Raw genomic sequence first — 20701 nt, 5'->3', positions numbered from 1 at the left:
AAGTGAGGAAAGAACATAGCAGACAAAAGATTAAATGGTTCCATCTGGACTTCCAAGTTCACTTATAAAGTCCATTTCGCCAAAGAGTGTGAAAGTGTCAAGTTGTTTAAAATGAGCCTAAACATCAAGGAATCAAAGAATAGAGGTTATAAAATGGCCCCCAAAATAGGAAGGATACAGCTATAATTGCTTTGTCGAGAACTGGGAGATACAACTCCGCTTGAAAAGCTATGTACTTTTTATATGTGAACAATGCAGAGCCATGAGGCATGTGGGTCAGGGAGGAGTTCATTACCAATATAAGCAGATCAACAGCCAGAATAACATTGCAGCACCAGTTCCCCACACCTAGCCCTACAGGAGATAAGAGCCATGAAATCTTTTTATGTGGGTGCCAGGGGACAGGAAACAATGGATTTTCTCCATTTACATACAGTAAAAAACCAACTGCCTCCCACTTCTCTCCCAAAATAAGAGAGGAAGGAAAAAAAAAAAAACCTTTTGCTGCTTTCTGGTGGGGATGCAAAGGATCCTGGTTTCTCAACTTAACCATTTGGATTACAAATGAAATGTCTCCAGGAGTGTGTTCCCACCTGGAGAGGTCCTGATCCACTCTTTTAATATGTAAATTCCTAGGAGCTAACCTAGACAACTATCTCAGGACAACTGACTTTAGGGGAGATAAGAGAAGTTTTATTATCCTTTTATATCAGAGCTATTAGCTCCATCATTGAGGGAAACATTGGCTGCAGATCTAATCTTCATGGTGGGTGAAAATGTTTCCATGGGAAGTGAGAGCCAAATTTTTTTTCCTCTTTCTGTCAGTTACATTTCCAAGTTTCAGGAGGCTAGTGCATTTTACAAGAGCACTGATGAATTGAGGAAAGTTTCATATCCCCACAATGATACAACAGTAGTTTCCCAAAATGTATGATGACAATAAAAAAAAACTTGCTACTCTGGGAGGTAGAGATGGGATTTAAGAGGCCACATATACTTAGAGGCCAGAAGACTAGGATAAATATGGTGCCCAAACTGATCATTTTTTAATGCTTTTAGCTGCATGTACAAGTGGCCAGATCATAGTGGTATAAGTAAATAGGCATTTGTTTTTTTCTCCCCTAAAGAAGTCTGAAGGTCTGTATTCAGAGAAGTAATCATCAGTGCAGATTCTTCCTAGCTTCCTTCTGCCCTCTTAGTATGTAGCTTGCTGGTTGCAAAGTGGCTGCTCTACCTCCTTCCATCACGTTTGTATTACAATCACTAAAAAGGGAAAAGAGCAAAGGCAAAAGGTACATGCCAGCTTTTTCTTTTTTTAAAGTCCTTCTGAAAAGACTATCAAGTAATATCCATTTATATCTTATTACCCATCTCCAGCAAAAGGAAGTTCAAAAAGGTAAATATTGGTACTAATCACATTGGTACCATGAAGAAAAATGGGTTTCTTTCAGCAAAGAGAAGAGAAAGAGCTATTAGAAAGGCAACCAGTGATGTCCATCACCTGGGCCTCAACTGAGAAAGCAGTACGAGGCTATAAAAATCCCATATAGTTTAGGAGTAGGCTGACCACCCCACTTCCTATCTGGAACTGTAGGAGGAGGCTTCCTCTCAGTGTACTGGCATTGTCACCATGTGATGAAGTTGGGTAGAAAGGTGGAGGGGTATGTTTAGGCAGAGAGGGGCCTGAGCACACTATGAGGTGTTGTCCAGAAGTTCACTTCCCCAGTAGGGTACTCAGAAGGAAGGTAAGGGCAGTGGACTAAAAGATGCCCCAGTCAGGGGTGAAGAGGATGCAGAAGACATGGACCTTGTCACTAGAGGCTCTGGCAGTGACCACAAACATCAGCATTATATTTCTGTTCAAGCCGCCAAACCAGGTGTGACCAGATATATCAGCAGCATGGAGCAACAGAGGCCAATATCTAAACAGCCCAGTGAGGAAGACAACAGCAGAGGCCAGGGAAGACCTGCAGCAGGTCTGTAGACCAGACACACTACCCCAACACTATAATGGGATGTAAGCTCCCCTGCCCACAACTGTAATACTGATGCAGGGGTGGGTGGTAGGAAAAGCTATAATTTTTGAATTGTGTAATGATGAATCCTGACCTGAACCTAATAAATGAGAGGCTAAATTTCAAACTGAATGTGATTAAATTACCTTTAATTTGCAAAATCAAGGTATTTTTCCCAACATCTGCAGAAATGATGAGTGGGGATGGGGTGGGAACTTGAATTAGTTGAATTTAATTGTGAGATGTAAAAAGTTAACATTTTTGCACACCTGAGCAGTATATAAACTTAAAATTGATGGTCACGGATAAAATTAGGATTACGGTGTAGAAGTTATTAAAAGTTAGAAATAAGTGTGTGACTATTTGTGATATCTAAGTAAAGTTATGAGCTGATTTAGCTAATTGATTTGTCAATGAAAAGAGCCAAACTCTGTAAAATATTTGAAGAGATTTATTCTGAGACAAATATGAATGACCATGGCAAGAGGCACAGTCACAAGACGTCCTGAGAACATGTGTCCAATGTGTTTGGGATACAGTTTGATTTTATACATTTTAGGGGGCATAAGACATCAATAAATACATTGGTTTGGTCCGGAAAGGTGGAACAACTTGAGGGGCAGTGGGGTCGGAGGCATACATTGGTTTAGTCCAGAAAGGTGGAACAACTTGAGGGGCAGTGGGGTCAGAGGCTGTGGGATGGTGATAGGTCATAGGTAAATCTAAAGATTTTCTGATTGGCAATTGGTTGAAAGAGTTACATAATTACTTAAAGACCTGGAATTAATAGAAAGAAGTGTCTGGGGTAAGATAAGGGATTGTAGAGACCAAGGTTCTTATGAAGTCTTACAGGTGGCTGCCCCTAGAGATAATAGATGGTGAATGTTTCCTATTCAGAACTTTAAAAGGTGCTAGAGTCTCAGTTAATCTCTTCAGGATTGGTGATGGTGGTGGGGTGGGGGCTGCAAGGGGAAAGATCTAGTTTTGTTAATAGAGACGCTTTACAGATGCAAATTCTCTCCTACAAAAGGCTTTGCAGGGCCATTTTAAAATATGTCAAAGAAATATATTGTGGAGTAAAATACTTTGATTTCCTTCAGGGTCCTGCTATCTGTCATGTGATACTATACTAGAGTCAAGTTGGAATTTGGTAACTTACTGCTAGGGAGAATCTGTTCTGTCAGTCTTAGGATCTCTATTTTAATGTTAATGCTGGTCAATTGTGTTCCTGAACTCCAATGGAAAGAAAGTATAATGTGGCATGTCTGATCCCCGCCTGCCCTCTCCTGTAATGACCTGAACTAGTTTTCAGGTTTCTTTGGAATCCCTGTGGCCAAGAGGGGGTCCATTCAGTCAGTCTAGGGGCTTAGAGTTTTATTTTTGGTTTACACCTTTATTCAGGGCACAAACATTGATTGAGCCTCCTATGAACAGAAGCAGTCCTTCATGCTGATGGCCTGATCTTAACTGGTAAAGTGGAGTTGCAGAAAGTCTCTGGGGCTCTCTGAGCATAAGGAGGAGAACCCCACAAAGAGGAGTGAAGCAAGACAGCTTCTGCATGTTCAGGTTCTGAGTCCAAGGAGACTCTTGTGGGTTGTTCAGCAGGCTGAGGAATTTTGGGGTAAGTTTGGGAGGAGATTGTGAAAGTTATTTCTGCCTCTTAAGACCTAGTTCCACCCAAAGAGAAAAGAAGAGATAGAATGTCCCTCTGTACTTAGTTGTCACTGGAGAATTTGTAAGGAATTCTCAGGAGAAAGTGATAGGAGAGGGTAAGGAGAAGATAATACTAGTAATAATTATAAGTTAACTATTATCGGTTATGAATTTCTACCCTGTGGAAAACATTAAAATAATTATTTATCTTCAATTTTCACAATAATTTTTGCAAGGTAGATATTTTGATTCCCACTGTAGCATATGAGGAAACAGACTCAGGGAGATTAAAGAACTTTCCCAGGGTCATGAATCTAGTAATGGTCAGGGGTTCAAACCCAGTCCAGGGAGTTTGATGCCAGAGCAGAGCTTGTTTTACTGTGCTGTGTGACCCCAGTACATGTGCCTATTTCACAGGCCTACTGTGAACACTTCTTGGACACTTGCACAAATTCTCTCATTCTGAGAGTAAGGAGAGATTATTAGAGAAAAGGAGTAGAGTTTTACCCCTTGTTCCTAGACTCCCTACTTCCCATTCTGCCAAAAAAGCAGTGGCTGTGGGCCCTTACACTAAGGTCTGGTTCCTAACCTCTAAAATCTGGCTCCATGAGTAGGAGGAACAGGATTGTGAACAGACAGTTTTGTGGTAACAGCAAAAGACTCTCCTGATTCCTACGAGATGTAGTCAGTCTTCTGGGTATAAACACAGTGATCTTCCTGGATTCATAACCAACTGCATTTGCATTTGGGATTTTTCCATTACATTATTTGAACTACTCCCTCTCAATTTCATAACAAGTGATGTCACCCCTGAGGCCACCAGGGAGCACAGGGATTTTATGTCTTAAATCTGTGTGCAGATTACAATAGTGTAGCTAAGTCACATTACAGTAATTGCAAATATGCAACTCATTATTTTCTTTAGATCACTGGAGTACAGCACTAAAAATTCTAAATTTCAATTTTTGGTTTATTTCTCAATATAGAACTCATTACATCCAGAGTTTTATGAGTCTCTTTAGGAAGATAAGGACAGATTTCACCCTATCACCATGAAGAAAATAATCCCTGAAGGTACTCTGTGGCCTGCATCTCCCATACCTAACTTCCTTCTTTTGCCCAAATTCATAAAGGTTTGATGGTATGATCTTGGATGAAAAGAGGAGGATAAAAATGCAAGACAGGAAAGTTTATGTCACCAGCTGGCTTAATGAAAGATGCTTGGGAATTGATCCTCTAAATATTTTTGAGTTTTTAATATGTAACAAAAAATAATGTGGTATTTATTGGCATGTTTCATGAGTTAAATTTAAAACTTTATTGTCGACTGGCTTCCAGGGACAACCCTTAGAAAGTCAGGCTTAACTCTCTCCCTCTCCGTCTCCCTCTCCCTCTCCCCCTCCCCCTCCCCCTCCTTCTCCCCTCTTTCCACGGTCTCCCTCTGATGCCGAGCTGAAGCTGGACTGTACTGCTGCCATCTCGGCTCACTGCAACCTCCCTGCCTGATTCTCCTGCCTCAGCCTGCGGAGTGCCTGCGATTGCAGGCACGCGCCGCCACGACTGACTGGTTTTCGTATTTTTTGGGTGGAGACGGGATTTCGCTGTGTTGGCCGGGCTGGTCTCCAGCTCCTAACCGCGAGTGATCCGCCAGCCTCGGCCTCCCGAGGTGCCGGGATTGCAGACGGAGTCTCCTTCACTCAGTGCTCAATGGTGCCCAGGCTGGAGTGCAGTGGCATGATCTCGGCTCGCTACAACATCCACCTCCCAGCAGCCTGCCTTGGCCTCCCAAAGTGCCGAGATTGCAGCCTCTGCCCGGCTGCCACCCTGTCTGGGAAGTGAGGAGCGTCTCTGCCTGGCCACCCATCGTCTGGGATGTGAGGAGCCCCTCTGCCTGGCTGCCCAGTCAGGAAAGTGAGGAGCATCTCTGCCCAGCCGCCATCCCATCTAGGAAGTGAGGAGCGCCTCTTCCCGGCCGCCATCCCATCTAGGAAGTGAGGAGCGTCTCTGCCCGGCCGCCCATCGTCTGAGATGTGGGGAGCGCCTCTGCCCTGTCGCCCCGTCCGGGATGTGAGGAGCGTCTCTGCCCAGCCGCCCTGTCTGAGAAGTGAGGAGACCCTCTGCCTGGCAACCGCCCTGTCTGAGAAGTGAGGAGCCCCTCCGCCCGGCAGCCACCCCGTCTGGGAAGTGAGGAGCGTCTCCGCCCGGCAGCCACCCCGTCCGGGAGGGAGATGGGGGGGTCAGCCCCCCGCCTGGCCAGCCGCCCCGTCCAGGAGGGAGGTGGGGGGATCAGCCCCCCCCCCCGGCCAGCCGCCCCCTCCGGGAGGTGAGGGGCGCCTCTGCCCAGCCGCCCCTACTGGGAAGTGAGGATCCCCTCTGCCCGGCCAGCCGCCCCGTCCGGGAGGGAGGTGGGGGGGTCAGACCCCGCCCGGCCAGCCACCCCGTCTGAGAGGTGAGGGGCGCCTCTGCCCGGCCGCCCCTACTGGGAAGTGAAGAGCCCCTCTGCCCGGCCAGCCGCCCCGTCCAGGAGGGAGGTGGGGGGGTCAGCCCCCTGCCCGGCCAGCCACCCCATCCGGGAGGTGAGGGTCGCCTCTGCCCGGCCGCCCCTACTGGGAAGTGAGGAGCCCCTCTGCCCGGCCACCACCCCGTCTGGGAGGTGTACCCAACAGCTCATTGAGAACGGGCCATGATGACAATGGCAGTTTTGTGGAATAGAAAGGGGGGAAAGGTGGGGAAAAGATTGAGAAATCGGATGGTTGCCGTGTCTGTGTAGAAAGAGGTAGACATGGGAGACTTTTCATTTTGTTCTGTACTAAGAAAAATTCTTCTGCCTTGGGATCCTGTTGATCTGTGACCTTACCCCCAACCCTGTGCTCTCTGAAACATGTGCTGTGTCCACTCAGGGTTAAATGGATTAAGGGCGGTGCAAGATGTGCTTTGTTAAACAGACGCTTGAAGGCAGCATGCTCATTAAGAGTCATCACCACTCCCTAATCTCAAGTACCCAGGGACACAAACGCTGCGGAAGGCCGCAGGGTCCTCTGCCTAGGAAAACCAGAGACCTTTGTTCACTTGTTTATCTGCTGACCTTCCCTCCACTATTGTCCTATGACCCTGCCAAATCCCCCTCTGTGAGAAACACCCAAGAATGATCAATAAAAAAAATAAATAAATAAATAAATAAATAAATAAATAAACAAAAAAAAAACTTTATTGTCAGAGGCTCTTAACTGAAGTAATTTAAAACCTGGCCCACACTTGATGTGGATTTATAATGGGAAAGTGTTGTCTTTTGTGTTGCCCACTAGACCCTCAAAAGTGACCCTGCATGAAGAAGGGAATAAGCCCAAAATGGTAGGATCAATGCTGAGTATCAAATCGCAGCAGGACAAGTCACAGCGTTTTAGGAGGCTGAGCATGGGCTTAATCTGAATTGACTCTGACAGGTGAAGTTTGTCAGCAATGGCTGGGTGCAGTGGCTTATGCCTGGAATCCTGGTATTTTGGGAGACCAAGATAGAGGATCACTTGAGACCAGGAGTTCAAGACCAGACTGGGCAACATAGTGAGGCTCTGTCTCTGCAAAAAAAAAAATTAAAACATCAGCCAGGTGCAGAGGCACGTGCCTATAGTTCCAGCTACTCAGGAGGCCGATGTGGGTAGATCACTTGAGTCCAGGAGTTTTAGAATGCTGTGAGCCATGATTGCAACATCTACTTCAGCCTGGTGACAAAGCAAGAACCTGTCTCAGGAAAATTTTAAAAAAAGTTTGCCAGCAAGAGTTTCTGGAGCAGAGTGAGGCAAACTATACTTTGCTAGACAAGACTCTAGCCAAATGTGGGGGTAGAGTAGGATGGGTTCAGGGGACAGATTCCAGTCCCCTGAGAAGGAAATGTAAGACTACATAGAGATTGGGGTAGAGTTCTAGTACCAGAAAGACAAACTACATTAAGAAACCGAAGCAAAAGCCAAGTCATAAGCAATGTATACCATTGGCTGAAGGGGAAAGTCTGAAGCCAGATAAGCCTGAGAATGGCTGGAGGCCTACCAAAGGTACCACAGACCCTTGCCACAGATGGGAAAGGGGTATTTAATAAGGATATGAGGTTGGTTCATGGAGGTATGAGCAACAAGGCTGCCGCATTCTACAACTCTAAGGGCATTTGAAGGTCAGCCCTTGCCACTACCCAGTAGGCACCCGTACAGGGACTCACAGGGAATATCGTGTGGAGTTGTCCCATGCATTGACCCTGAGTGGGAGATATTTAGTTTGCACATTTAAAGTCTTTGGAACCTTTAGTCTGGTGCAGATGGAACAGAGATCACTGACAGCAAATTTCTATGTATTTGTGCATATTTGAAACTTAGATTTAGAAATAATTCTAAAATGTCTTGCTGCAAGTTGAGCATAGCATATTGCTGAATGTGAAGGGTGAGGGAAGCATTTCACCTGAAAGCAAATTTTACTTGTCAGAGGCAAGAATCATGGATTTTTTGATACCTAAGTGCTTTGATTCTCATCTTCAGATTTATTTGTACACGTTTCTCACATGAGCCTGGAAAATGTTACACAGGGAGATCAACAACCATCTAAACCGTGAGGCCAAGCAGGGCCTGAAAATGTGAACCCACAGCATTTCCTTGCCAGAGATTGCAATGTCTGGCTAACGGAACACATTTATTTCCCTCCACTGCTGCATCTTCAAGGTATACCTGTCAGTCACTCCTCACAACAATAAACTACTGTTTTATTCTGGTGTCTGCCCTCCCCTTCCCTCAGATGAGAATGATAAACTATAATCTGAAGAGTTGCAAAGGTGCACAGAAAATAATTCTCACTCATTTTCTTCTAGCAGCTTGTTTGGCCCAGCTATGATTGATTGAGTTTGGTCATGATGACACAAAGCTGGAGCTGTGATCACTCAATGTCCCTTCATCAGAGAAAATAAATCAAAGGGAACAGCGCCATGTGGCAGGGAAGTGAGATATCCCAGAACAATTACTGTGGCAGGCTGGGAGAGCAAGAGTCTCCCACAGAGGCTGAGTCTCTCAATTTTATTTTCATGATCAGGTTAGCTACTTTTCAAAGACGTACTATGACACTCACAAGGGGAGAGCCCGTGTTACCTGGCTTAGTTAAATATACTGACAGTGAAAGGGTTAGGAACAGACCTTCCCCTCTTCTTTCCCTGAGTGAATTGAAAAGCACTTTGAAAATATATTTAGTGTCTTTGAACATTTCTGGGCTCACTGCTGGGTAGTGTTTCTAGAAGCCAAGTAGGGATATAGAAGACTTACTCTCAAAAGCAAGATGAATTGAGTAAAACTCATGATCTAAATATTCTGTCCTAGGTTGGGTGATGAGGCAGGGTGGGATGACAGTGTATCCTAGTTACCAGAAACCTTGGACTCTCCTTTGAGGCCTTCCTCTCCCTCTGTACCCCCTCCAATCCATCACCACACCCTAACAATATTACCTTCTAAATGTTTCTAGTCCATACACTTGTTTACATCTCAGTCACTAGCACTTGATCTTCATCTCTCACCAGGATCCCCTACCACCACCACCATGCTGTCCTTGCTCCCATTCCTGTGCTCTCATAGTCCTTTCCCCACTTGGCAGCCAGAGAGGTGTTTTCATAACACCAATTAAGTTATACCACTGTCTTAATAAAATACCTTCATTGGCTCACTTTTGCTCTTCAAATGATAACCTAATTCTTGACTATGGCCTTCAAGGTCCTATATTATACGACTTTTCTCTCCCTCTGTTTTCACTTCCTGCAACTCATCATTCATGATCCTCCAAAACACACTGACTTCCATCTTGTTCCTTCTACTTTGCACTTGCTGCACTCTCTTCCTAGAAGGTGCTTCCTTCCAACCTTGGCTTCTTTGTACCATTCAGGTAATCAGATTTATGTCCACTCCACAGAGCATCCTTCCCAGCCACCATTAGATTTTCACTCTCTGCCAAATCAGACACATTTTATAGATTAAACATTCATCCATCATCCATTAATTGTTCATCTTCAACAGACTGACGGATCTAAGAGAATAAGTATCTCACCCTTGTGTCTAGTAATAACTGGCACCTAGTAGGTAGGCACTCAGTAGTGAAGGAATAACATTCTGGCTCTAATTTCCAGCCCCAAGTTGCTGAGTTGCTATTAGGCTACCCTTCTCCCAGTGTTACATTATCTGGATTTCCTCCAGTTCAAGGCACTACAAGAGATAGTTTGATATTATACTCACCTTCTGACCTATTCTGCTTTGACTGAGTTCTGCTTATGAGAGTGGACTTAGCCCATGTCTGACCAGGAATACCAATGATATCTAAGTTCACTAGCAAACAGTGGGAAGGGATGATATGATAGATTAAGAACACCACAAACTCACTAGCTCTCTTCTCCAGTATATTTCTGAGAATATTTATCCACTTGAATCTGGGTCTGCGAATGCTTTGGCTGATGGAATACACTGAGAATAACACTGTTCCAGACCTGAGTCTAGGACTTACGACACTAGTTGCTTTCATGCGCGTCCGTGTGAAGAGACCACTAAACAGGCTTTGTGTGAGCAACATGGCTGTTTATTTCACCTGGGTGCAGGCGGGCTGAGTCCGAAAAGAGAGTCAGCGAAGGGAGATAAGGGTGGGGCCACTTTATAGGATTTGGGTAGGTAAAGGAAAATTACAGTCAAAGGGGGTTTTTTCTCTGGCGGGCAGGAGTGGGGGTTGCAAGGTGCTCAGTGGGGGTGCTTTTTGAGCCAGGATGAGCCAGGAAAAGGACTTTCACAAGGTAATGTCATCAGTTAAGGCAAGGACCGGCCATTTACACTTCTTTTGTGGTGGAATGTCATCAGTTAAGGTGGGGCAGGGCATATTCACTTCTTTTGTGATTCTTCAGTCACTTCAGGCCATCTGGGTGTATACGTGCAAGTCACAGGGGATGCGATGGCTTGGCTTGGGCTCAGAGGCCTGACATTCCTGCCTTCTTATATTAATAAGAAAAATAAAATAGTGTTGAAGTGTTGGGGTGGCAAAAATTTTTGGGGGGTGGTATGGAGAGAGAATGGGCGATGTTTCTCAGGGCTGCTTCAAGCGGGATTAGGGGCGGCGTGGGAACCTAGAGTGGGAGAGATTAAGCTGAAGGGAGGTCTTGTGGTAAGGGGTGATATTGTGGGGATGTTAGAAGAAACATTTGTCGTATAGAATGATTGGTGATGGCCTGGATATGGTTTTGGATGAATTGAGAAACTAAATGGAATAACAGAAGGAGAAAAACAAGTATAAAAGGTCTAAGAATTGGGACGACTCAGGATATCTGATTAGAGAGTGCCTAAGGAGATTCAGCAGTCCTGCCCGCAAAGATTATTTATTTACTTCAAGAGTTAAGACTGGCAGTTTGGGGATAGCACCAGGAGATATCAGCTTTGATGGCTTGGAAAAACAGTGTGAACCGGCAGTGTAAACAAGAGCAGGGCAAGTATGAATAGTTGAGAACGAATAGGAGTATGACTAGACAGAAGATAGTAGGTATGACAAGTTTTTTGGGGCACAGTCTAACTTGGTCTAGTGTCTGGAATGAGAAGTGTCTATACAGGAGCTTAAATGGGCTGTACCCTGTAGCATTCTGAGGACCGGCCTGAATTCTGAGAAGGGAAAGTGGTAAAAGTATTGTCCAGTCCTTTTTAAGTTGGTGGCTGAGCTTGGTGAGGTGTGTTTTTAAAAGACCTTTAGTCCATTCTACTTTTCTTGAAGATGGAGGACCGTAAGGGATATAAAGGTTTCACTGAATACTAAGAGCCTGAAAAACTGCTTGGCTGATTTGACTAATAAAGGCTCATCTGTTATCAGACTGTATTGAGTTGGCAAGGCTTAACTTAGGAATTATGTCTGACAGAACGGAAGAAATGACTGCGGTGGCCTTCTCAGACCCTGTAGGAAAGGCCTCTACCTAACCAGTGAAAGTATCTACCTATCCAGTGAAAGTATCTACCTAGTCTAAGAGGTATTTTAGTTATCTGACTCAGGGCATATTGAGTAAAGCTAATTTGCCAGTCCTGGGTGGGGCAAATCCTCAAGCTTGATGTGTAGGGAAGGGAGGAGGCCTGAATAATCCCTGAGGAGTAGTAGAATAGCAGATGGAACACTGAGAAGTTATTTCCTTGAGGATAGATTTCCACGATGGAAAGGAAATGAGAGGTTCTAAGAGGCAGGCTAGTGGCTTGTACTATAGTATAACCTGCCTTTGCTGGTGTGTGGCGATTAGGCCTGGTGGAACCGCCATCAATAAATCAAGAGTGATCAGGGTGAGGAACAGGAAAGAAGGAAATTTGGGGAAATGGGGTGAATGTCAGGTGGATCAGAGAGATACAGTCATGGGGGTCAGGTGTGGTATCAGGAATAATGTGGGAGGCCGGATTGAAGTCCGGGCCAGGAACAATGGTAATTGTGGGAGACTCAACAAAGAGTGAGTATAGCTGAAGGAGCCAGGAAGCAGAAAGTATATGCGTCAGGTATGAGGAAGAAAATAGATTTTGGAAGTTATGAGAACTGTAGAGAGTGAGTTCAGCATAGTTTGTGATTTTGAGGGCCTCTAAAAGTATTAAAGCTGCGGCAGCCGCTGCACGCAGACATGAGGGCTAGGCTAAAACAGTAAGGTCAAGTTGTTTGGACAGAAAGGCTACAGGGTGTGGTCCTGGCTCTTATGTAAGAATTCTGACCACGCTAACCATGCCTAAGAAGGAAAGGAGTTGTTGTTTTGTAGAAGGTGCTGGGGTTTGAGAGATCAGTCAGACACGATTGGCAGGGAGAGCACATGTGTTTTTATGGGAATTATGCCAAGATAGGTAACAGATGAGGAAGAAATTTGGGCTTGATTGAAGTAATGGGGGCTGTCTGTGAAGCTTTGCAGCAGTACAGCCTTGGTAATTTGCTGCGCCTAAATGGGTGTCAGGGTCAGTCTAAGTGAAAGCAAAGAGAGGCTGGGACGAGGGGTGCAGGGGAATAGTGAAAAAAGCATCTTTAAGGTCAAGCACGGAATAGTGGGTTGTGGAGGAAGGTATTGAGGACAAAAGAGTGTACGGGTTGGGCACCACGGGGTGTATAGGCAAAACAATTTGGTTGATAAGGTGCAGATCCTGAACTAACTTGTAAGGCTTGTCTGGTTTTAGGACAGGTAAAGTGGGGGAATTGTAAGGAGAGTTTATAGGGTTTAAAAGGCCATGCTGTAGCAGGCGAGTGATAACAGGCTTTAATCTTTTTAAAGCGTGCTGTGGGATGGGATATTGGCGTTGAATGGGGTAAGGGTGATTAGGTTTTAATGAGATGGTAAGGGGTGCATGATAGGTCGCCAAGGAGGGAGTAGAGGTATCTTATACTTGTGGGTTAAGGTGGGGGGATACAAGAGGAGAACGCAAAGGAGGCTTTGGATTGGGAAGAAGGGTGGCAATGAGATATAGCTGTAGTCCGGGAATAGTCAGGGAAGCAGATAATTTAGTTAAAAGTGTCTCAGCCTAATAAGGGAACTGGGCGGGTGGGGATAACTAAAAAGGAGTGCTTAAAAGAGTATTGTCTAAGTTGGCACCAGAGTTGGGGAGTTTTAAGAGGTTTAGAAGCCTGGCCATCAATACCCACAACAGTTATGGAGGCAAGGGAAACAGGCCCTTGAAAAGAAGGTAATGTGGAGTGGGTAGCCTCCTTATTGATTAAGAAGGGGACGGGCTTACCTTCCACTGTGAGAGTTACCGGACAGTTGCTTCTATTTTTAGCCTCTGGAAACACACTCTCTTAGAGCCCTGAGCCACATGGAAGAAGTTCAGCTATCTTGCAAAGAAGCCATGTGGAGAAGCCCTGAAACCACAGGAGAGGAAGAAGGCCCTGGCTGAGCCTAGGCATCAGCCAACCCAACTAAGCTGCTAGACACATTAAAGAATGCTTCTTGGACCACCACAAATCCGAACAGCCACCAGCTGAAGATAACTTGAACATTGTATTCATTGATTGAGTGGCCCCAGTCAATGCCATGAAGCAGAAGAATTGGCAAGCTAAGCCCTGGCCAAAATTCTAACCTATAGACTTTGAACTTAATGAATTGACTATTGTTTTAAGACATTACATTTTGGGTGGTTTGTTAAATGACAATACATGACAGGACAAGCATGTAGACTGACTTTTGTACTTCAAAGAAGGTATGACTATCTACTCCCTTCCTACTTTGAAAGAATGGTTGCAATTGCCCAGCAATAAGATATACAACAAAACCATAATCAATACTTGGGAATGAAGGGTGGGTGATGAAGGTGGCTTCACAGGTGGGGAGCAGATTCCTGTTTTTTAGGATGGTTGATCTAAACCACAATAATATCAAGAATATCTCATCAGGACAGCACATATACGAGAAATACCATTATAATATTCAGTTTAATTCCAATCCAATTTTCCTCCAGACCTAGCTGATAAGCCTATCCAGACAGCGTGTGAGGTGGTAATCATAGGTGTACTTTATCAGGTGCTAATAACAGAATCTGACCATGATTTCTAAGTTTATTTGAGGGCGTGCAACATTCTCAGAGATTAGTCCTAAAAGGCCTTTTGGCACCCTCTACCAACCCATCCACCAAATCCACTAACAGCAAAAAAGAGAAAATCTCGGCAATTTCTTTCCTGCAGAGTCGTCTTTCTTGATATTATCTAAACCTAAAATGCACTAGAATATATTTCTGTTTGTTTTCATCACTGCTGTGTTCTCAGTGCCTAGAACAGGGCCTGGGACATAGTAGACTCAATAAATATTGCTGATAAAATAAATTGTTGCATTAGAAAAAAATAAGATGCAATTCTGGGCAGAGGTGGTCACTCTCTAGAGGTATCAGACTACCAGCATCTCTTCAAGGCCTCAGGCATGTCCAAGTATGGTTCAGAGGAGTATCAGAAAATATTTTATTTAAAAAGTATTAAGTATATTTTATAACATTTAAGAAAAAAGAATGAAGAATAACATAACTAATATCCATGTACTACCACCTGGCTTAAGAGCTAATATATTGCCAACAATGTTCAATTCACCTAGTGTGGCCCTCCCTGGGTGCCTTTTCCATCCTGCCCCTGAAATATAATGACTAGACTTAATTTGGTGTTTATCAATCTCATATATTTCTTTATAGTTTTATTATATGTATATGTATCTTTAAGCACCAATAGTGTTGTGTTGCATGCTCTAAATTGTATGTGTTATCTTACTGTGTAAGTTCTTCTGTAATCTGCTCTAGTTATATTTAAGTGCACATCTTTCAGAAATTCTATACACATACATGTGCACACGCATATGCAGACATACTGTATATGGTGTTTTGTAACTTCATTTTTTCTTTACAGTTTTTCATCCTAAGACATCTTGCAAATACAAAAAGTAATACAAAAAACCCAAGTTGGACAAAACTTAAGAAATTAAACACTGCACCCTATGTATTCCCTTCCTCCACTGCATTCAGGTCCTCCCCACATAGACATATATATTTTCCATCCCCCCAAAATATCTAATATTAGTTTATATTTTTTAAACTTCATATTGCATTCTGTTCTGAAACGAAGAGGTGAAATTGTGACTTTTGAGGTTCTGGGCTTCCCGTAGGGGCAACAGTTCCATCTCCCCACCTGGTGAGTGCCACTGCACCATTACCTGGTCTCAGGTCTGCTCCCACCACCTTCCACTCACTCCCCACCATCCCACAGCCCCATTACACCACTATCCTAGTCTCTTCATTCTTCAGATTCCTTCAGAGCACACTATGGGTATCACCACCACACAGATTTTTCTCCTCTCTTCATTTTTGACACTTATGGATTTCCCTATTTTATTGTGAAATCATCTATGCCTTTTTTTTTTTTTTTTTTTTTTTTTTTTTGAGACAGGGTCTCACTTTGTTTCCCAGGCTGAAGTGTGAGGTGCAATCATGACTCACTGCAGCCTTCAACTCCCAGGCTCAAGCTATCCTTCCACCTCAGCTCTGGAGTAGCTGGGACTACAGGCACACATCACCACAGCTAGCTAACTTTTTTGTTTTTTGTAGAGACAGGGTCTCCATATGTTTCCCAGGCTGGCCTCCTACCTCAGACTCCCAAAGTGCTAGTGTATAGAGCGCCCTTGACATAAGTAACTCCATCTTAGAAAAATACTCCATCTTACATTTCAAAAGGCACTTTGCCAACAGGGAGCAGATGTTTTGCGTGATCAATAAAGACTGCATCCAGCCAGGTAACAACGTAACCAAGCACACTCTTCCACTATCAGTCCTCACCAGAGGATTCTGTGGCCATAAAAAGAGCAGGACTTCTGCATCTCCTAACACCCATCATTGCTGTCACTTGTGATAAGCACCTGGCATATGCCGCCGAAGGCTCTGCCCACAACAAAGACTCCTCTCTGCAAGAACAACAGATCACCTGGGCCAGACCAGGATATTCTTTTTGTCTCATCACTCATGCTCGACTGGTTCACTAATCCTTTTTCCTATCCCCTTTCTCTTAATGTTAAATGTTTGTTGTGGAACATTTAGTCTATAATATTTATACATTGAATAAGTATACTGTTATGTATGGTTTGCAAAATTGACTGACTTGTGGAGTGACTTGAGCCCGTGTGCCTGTGGCTCTGACTACCGAGTGAACAGGAAGTACTAAGGAGAACTGCCTCCTTGGGCACTCCATGGAGCTCTTGGCTTTTGTAATTGAAATAGCATTAATAAAAGTCTGACATTGTGGAAAGACACAAATGTGCACGGACTTGGTTATCTCTGACTTGCATCCTTCACAATAGCTGGGATTACAGGCATGAGCCACCGCACCTGGCCTCATCTATGCATTTTAAAAGATGTTTATTCTACCATATGCAGTTTTTCTAGGGGTAGCAGGGGAGTTTTTCAGGATAAGAAACCTGCCAAATTTCTGGAAGTGAAAGTCTTGAAAGTTTCCTAAGTATTCTAAATATGTATTGTAGTCAGCACAAATAGTAATTTCCCATAAGAATCTCACAATTTAAATAGCTGACAGATATTTATAAAACATCTGCTAGATTTTATTAGGGGTATGTCAATTTAATCTAAACAACTCACTTTGTTTCAGTGTTAATGTGTTTATATAATAATTTTTGTTTTCATAGATACATTTTACAGTTATTAAATAGAGAAAAACAATACATGTCTAATAGTTTAAGAAAAAAAGTAACAGAGTTTTCCTTTATTAGAACAAAAATGAAAGGAATTCTTTCATAGGCATTAGAATAAAAATGAAGGGAATTCTTTCATAGCAGTGTAGTAAAGAAAAGGGGAGGAAGGTTGTGCGGGGACAATCTTCAAACTGGTTAAGACAAGTTTAGTTAGAAAGAACATTCTGAGTTGGACTGACTAACCCAGATGTGAGGGGGCACCCATTGTTTGGTAAAAAAAGGTTTTGGTATGACCATACAAGCAAGTATACCCATTAGTTATGACCAGTGGAAAAATGGAACTCTGAAAATTTGGGAAGTTCTGTTCTAGAACTACACACTGAAGATCAAGTAGATATTATTTCATCTGAGGTTCATATTTTGTGGTCATGACTGCTCAGATATTTTTATTTTGCATTTATTCTCTTTTTATATTTGAAATTTCACCCTGACTTAGTAGGTATCCTAGCTAGCTTCTGACTGCTCCTCCCCCATGTTCTAGCCTCTTCCTGCTTCAGCTCCTGGAGGCTCATGCATTTCCACGGTAGTCTCTTGCCCCTGACTTACAGTTGAGTTCAGTCAATGACAGGCACTAGGATGGGTAGAAGGAGAATGAGTTGCACATGAGATGAATGCGTATGAGTACTTATTTCCACAGCATGCTCCCTGACAGGTCATCATGGGTTATCTGTGTTTCCCTACCCAAGGTCATGGCTCCTGCCAGGCAATATTTCCATACAGTTACCATCTCCTGGTTATGGTAACTCTTGCCCCTTCAGGTTTTGAATGGTCCCCGTACCTCCTTGCTACTAGCTCCACATGCCATTGACACTGCCCACCTCTTTATTAAACTCCCTTCAAATTATCTAACTTGATTGTTCCATCCAATTCTTGCTGACTGATACAGTGGATAATTTTGGTGTGAAATGAGGCTGAGGATATTGGAAGGGAACAACCCTGCTGATATGGTCAGATACGTTTTTAAAAGATTACTCTGGCTATAATAAAAAACAATTGTAAGAAAGCCAGAATGGATGTGGGTAGACCTATTAGGAAATTTTATCAGTTGCCCTGGAGAGACTAATACTATTTGTCGTGGATTTAGATGAGGAGATGATGATGATTACTCCCAGGTTTCCAGCTTGCGTAACTGGATAGCATAGCAGCCGTAACATGGAGAACACTGGAACGAACCAGGTTTTCCAAGTATAGGCAAGCAAGCACAGGGAGCAGCTCATTTATTTTGATTCTGAATGTTTAGTGGAAGGGGCCTTCAGGACACCCAAGATGAGGGCAAGTGGCCAGCTGGACGTATGGGTCTGGGGAGCTTGGAAGATGTAAATTTGTGAGACATGTAGAGAGATCGGATGGCCTGAGAACAGAGTAAAGAGTGAAAAGAGGAGAGGGCTAGGAATGAAACTTGAGGAATCCCATCATATAATGACTAGTGAGAGGCAAAGTGTACAAATGAAACTGAGAAGGACTAGCCAGAGAGCAAAGAGGAATTCAGCTATCAAAATAGGTCTGAGTCCAACACAAATATCTGATAGTCTGGTGTGAGTTTTTCCAACATTCAGATTCATCCCACCTGATGATGACAGCCAGTGGTTGCAAAGTCTCACCAGGTTTCTCTCAAACCTTGGAAAGCCACAGAGACAGGTGCGTAGGTCACAGTTTAGGAATACTGGCTCAGAGCCAGATAACCTGGGTTTGCATCGTAATTTCATCTTCTATCAGCTATATGACCTTGGGCAAGTTGCTTAACCTGTATCATTCCTAAAATGGAGATAAATTTATTACTTCCATCTTAGGCACTATGAAAAGTAGACAAAAATAATGTGTACAAAGTCTATAGCACAGTGCATGACACATAGTAAATTTTGGATGTTATTCTCATTTTTCATGAAAAGATTAGGGAATCCAAGGAAAGCAAAACAAAACAAAAGGTAAAAGAAAGAGAGATAAAACATAATGATAGAAAGCCCAGATCACATCTCAGTAGGTTAGAGAGACTGGGGAATGAGGAAAAGCAGGATGAGAACGGCAAGTAGCCCCAGTCTACTGGAATCAACAGGTCCCCTTCCAGCTTCCATACCCTCTAGTGCTTCTGCAAAAAAGCAGAGAAGTACCCGAAAAGGCATGTGGAAGAGGAGTGGGTAAGTGAAGGACTCAGGCCTTGTACCAATTGAATAATTAGGTTTCAAATGATCGAAAGCATATAATAAGTGTTTTTTTTTCATCATATGCAAATAAGCTCAAAAATGCATTTCTGCAACATCTGTGGAAAATATTGTGTATGTGGCTGACAATTGAAGTTTCTGATTCCAAACATTTTAGGAACCTACAGAGCTATTTCAGTTTCTGAAGTGACGGCTCTGTGAAGGTGACCAACTTGTCATGGTTTGCCTAGGATTTTCCTGGTTTTAGTATGGTTAAGTCCCGACAAACCCCTCAATCTGGGGAAACTTGAGATAGTTGGTTACTCTACTGGTATCTCCCTCTGATACTGAAGAAAAAAAAAACCAAAAAACACTTCCCCCAACTAGTCTGACACCAGGAATTATAACTAACTTGCTGTTTACGAACAGAGAAGAGTGGATCCCTAAAGGGTATGATTTAAGAGGGTACCAAAAAATTTTGTCTCCAAGCCAAATTGTTCCTCATTTTTAGCACACTTTCTGCTCCCATTCCATTGATTGACCCTGACTGAAATTCTGAACTGGCTGACCCTTGGGCTGGGGCCACCTGACACTTCCTTGCAATGTCAATGCGGCCTTGGAGAAGCAAGAAAGCTCTTAGCAGGCATTAACATTTTACCTCAATATAATTTATCAAATTTGTCAGTTCCCTGGCAGACACTGGTGGAAATGGATTAAAATGATGTAAGTTTTAGGGGAGTATGTAGCAGGTCAAGAAAGAGTCAGATCATGGAGGAAATTCCACATGCATTGATTTAGATAGTGTACCATTGTAGAAACCTCTAGACTTCTAGACAAAAATTTCCAAATCTTTTTTCCTTGGAACACCTGTCCCAAGTTTCTCTCTGTAAAAGGGCTCCTTGGCAAATCATCTTTGGAAAACCTGACATGCCATCTCTCCTTTTTTAAGAGATTCAATATGCAGAGTAGCACAGTAAGAGCTCTGAGAAGCTCAGCATTAGATAATGCTTTTAAATTTTCTTTAACTCATCATTTTTCCATTTTATTTTATCATTAAGCTTTTTGCAATAGTATCTCTCAGAACTAGTATGCTGCAGAACAGTTTTTAGGAAAAATGCTATAATTTTTGAAGAGAAAAAAAATTCCCTCTGCACACTAGAGGTAAACCGATACTAAAGAAATAAAATAACCAGACAGAAGGGTTAAAAAAAAACTCATCTGCTTCACAATAGGGCCAAGCATGTATTCATTCATTCACTTCACAAATCTTTACGATAACTAAATGTGACCACTGACTATGGGGCAGGCAGAGTTTCACATGCTGTAGATACGGGAAAGAGCCAGACAAAGACTGCCTTCATAGAGGTTTCATCCTATAGGGAGACTATACAATTGAACCTAGGCTTTTAATCCTCTTTGAACATGTATGTAAAATAAACCTTCAGACCATAAGGTGAGTTAAAAGTCCCTACTGGGGTCTGGACAATTACCTTGATAACTCCTGACCTTGTGGACCTAGATCTGAATCCCTAGTTCTGTCAGCCCCCGCTTCAACTCCTCTCAATGTCCTTGAACCTCAGCTTTCCTCCATGGAATTATCACTCTAGATGTCAGTATGCTGAGGCATCTTCAGCAGAGTAACCAGTTCCAGCCCATGACTGACAAATGCT

General features: G+C 43.3%; 4 annotated features.

Annotated features, from left to right (window-relative positions):
* Positions 201 to 892: an enhancer, noted in NCBI's record as "NANOG hESC enhancer chr5:107900026-107900717 (GRCh37/hg19 assembly coordinates)". NCBI's record gives its function as "activates a minimal SCP1, AML or CMV promoter by ChIP-STARR-seq in naive and primed H9 embryonic stem cells {active_cell/tissue: H9 hESC(naive and primed)}" and the evidence as "EXISTENCE:reporter gene assay evidence [ECO:0000049][PMID:30033119]".
* Positions 5137 to 5764: an enhancer, noted in NCBI's record as "H3K27ac hESC enhancer chr5:107895154-107895781 (GRCh37/hg19 assembly coordinates)". NCBI's record gives its function as "activates a minimal SCP1, AML or CMV promoter by ChIP-STARR-seq in primed H9 embryonic stem cells {active_cell/tissue: H9 hESC(primed)}" and the evidence as "EXISTENCE:reporter gene assay evidence [ECO:0000049][PMID:30033119]".
* Positions 9451 to 10211: an enhancer, noted in NCBI's record as "NANOG-H3K27ac hESC enhancer chr5:107890707-107891467 (GRCh37/hg19 assembly coordinates)". NCBI's record gives its function as "activates a minimal SCP1, AML or CMV promoter by ChIP-STARR-seq in primed H9 embryonic stem cells {active_cell/tissue: H9 hESC(primed)}" and the evidence as "EXISTENCE:reporter gene assay evidence [ECO:0000049][PMID:30033119]".
* Positions 10212 to 10973: an enhancer, noted in NCBI's record as "OCT4-NANOG-H3K27ac hESC enhancer chr5:107889945-107890706 (GRCh37/hg19 assembly coordinates)". NCBI's record gives its function as "activates a minimal SCP1, AML or CMV promoter by ChIP-STARR-seq in naive and primed H9 embryonic stem cells {active_cell/tissue: H9 hESC(naive and primed)}" and the evidence as "EXISTENCE:reporter gene assay evidence [ECO:0000049][PMID:30033119]".

This window comes from Homo sapiens, chromosome 5, assembly GCF_000001405.40.
Source record: "Homo sapiens chromosome 5, GRCh38.p14 Primary Assembly".
NCBI lineage: Eukaryota > Metazoa > Chordata > Mammalia > Primates > Hominidae > Homo > Homo sapiens.
Note: the sequence above shows the minus strand (reverse complement) of the source record. Positions and strands in the feature narration are given on the sequence as shown.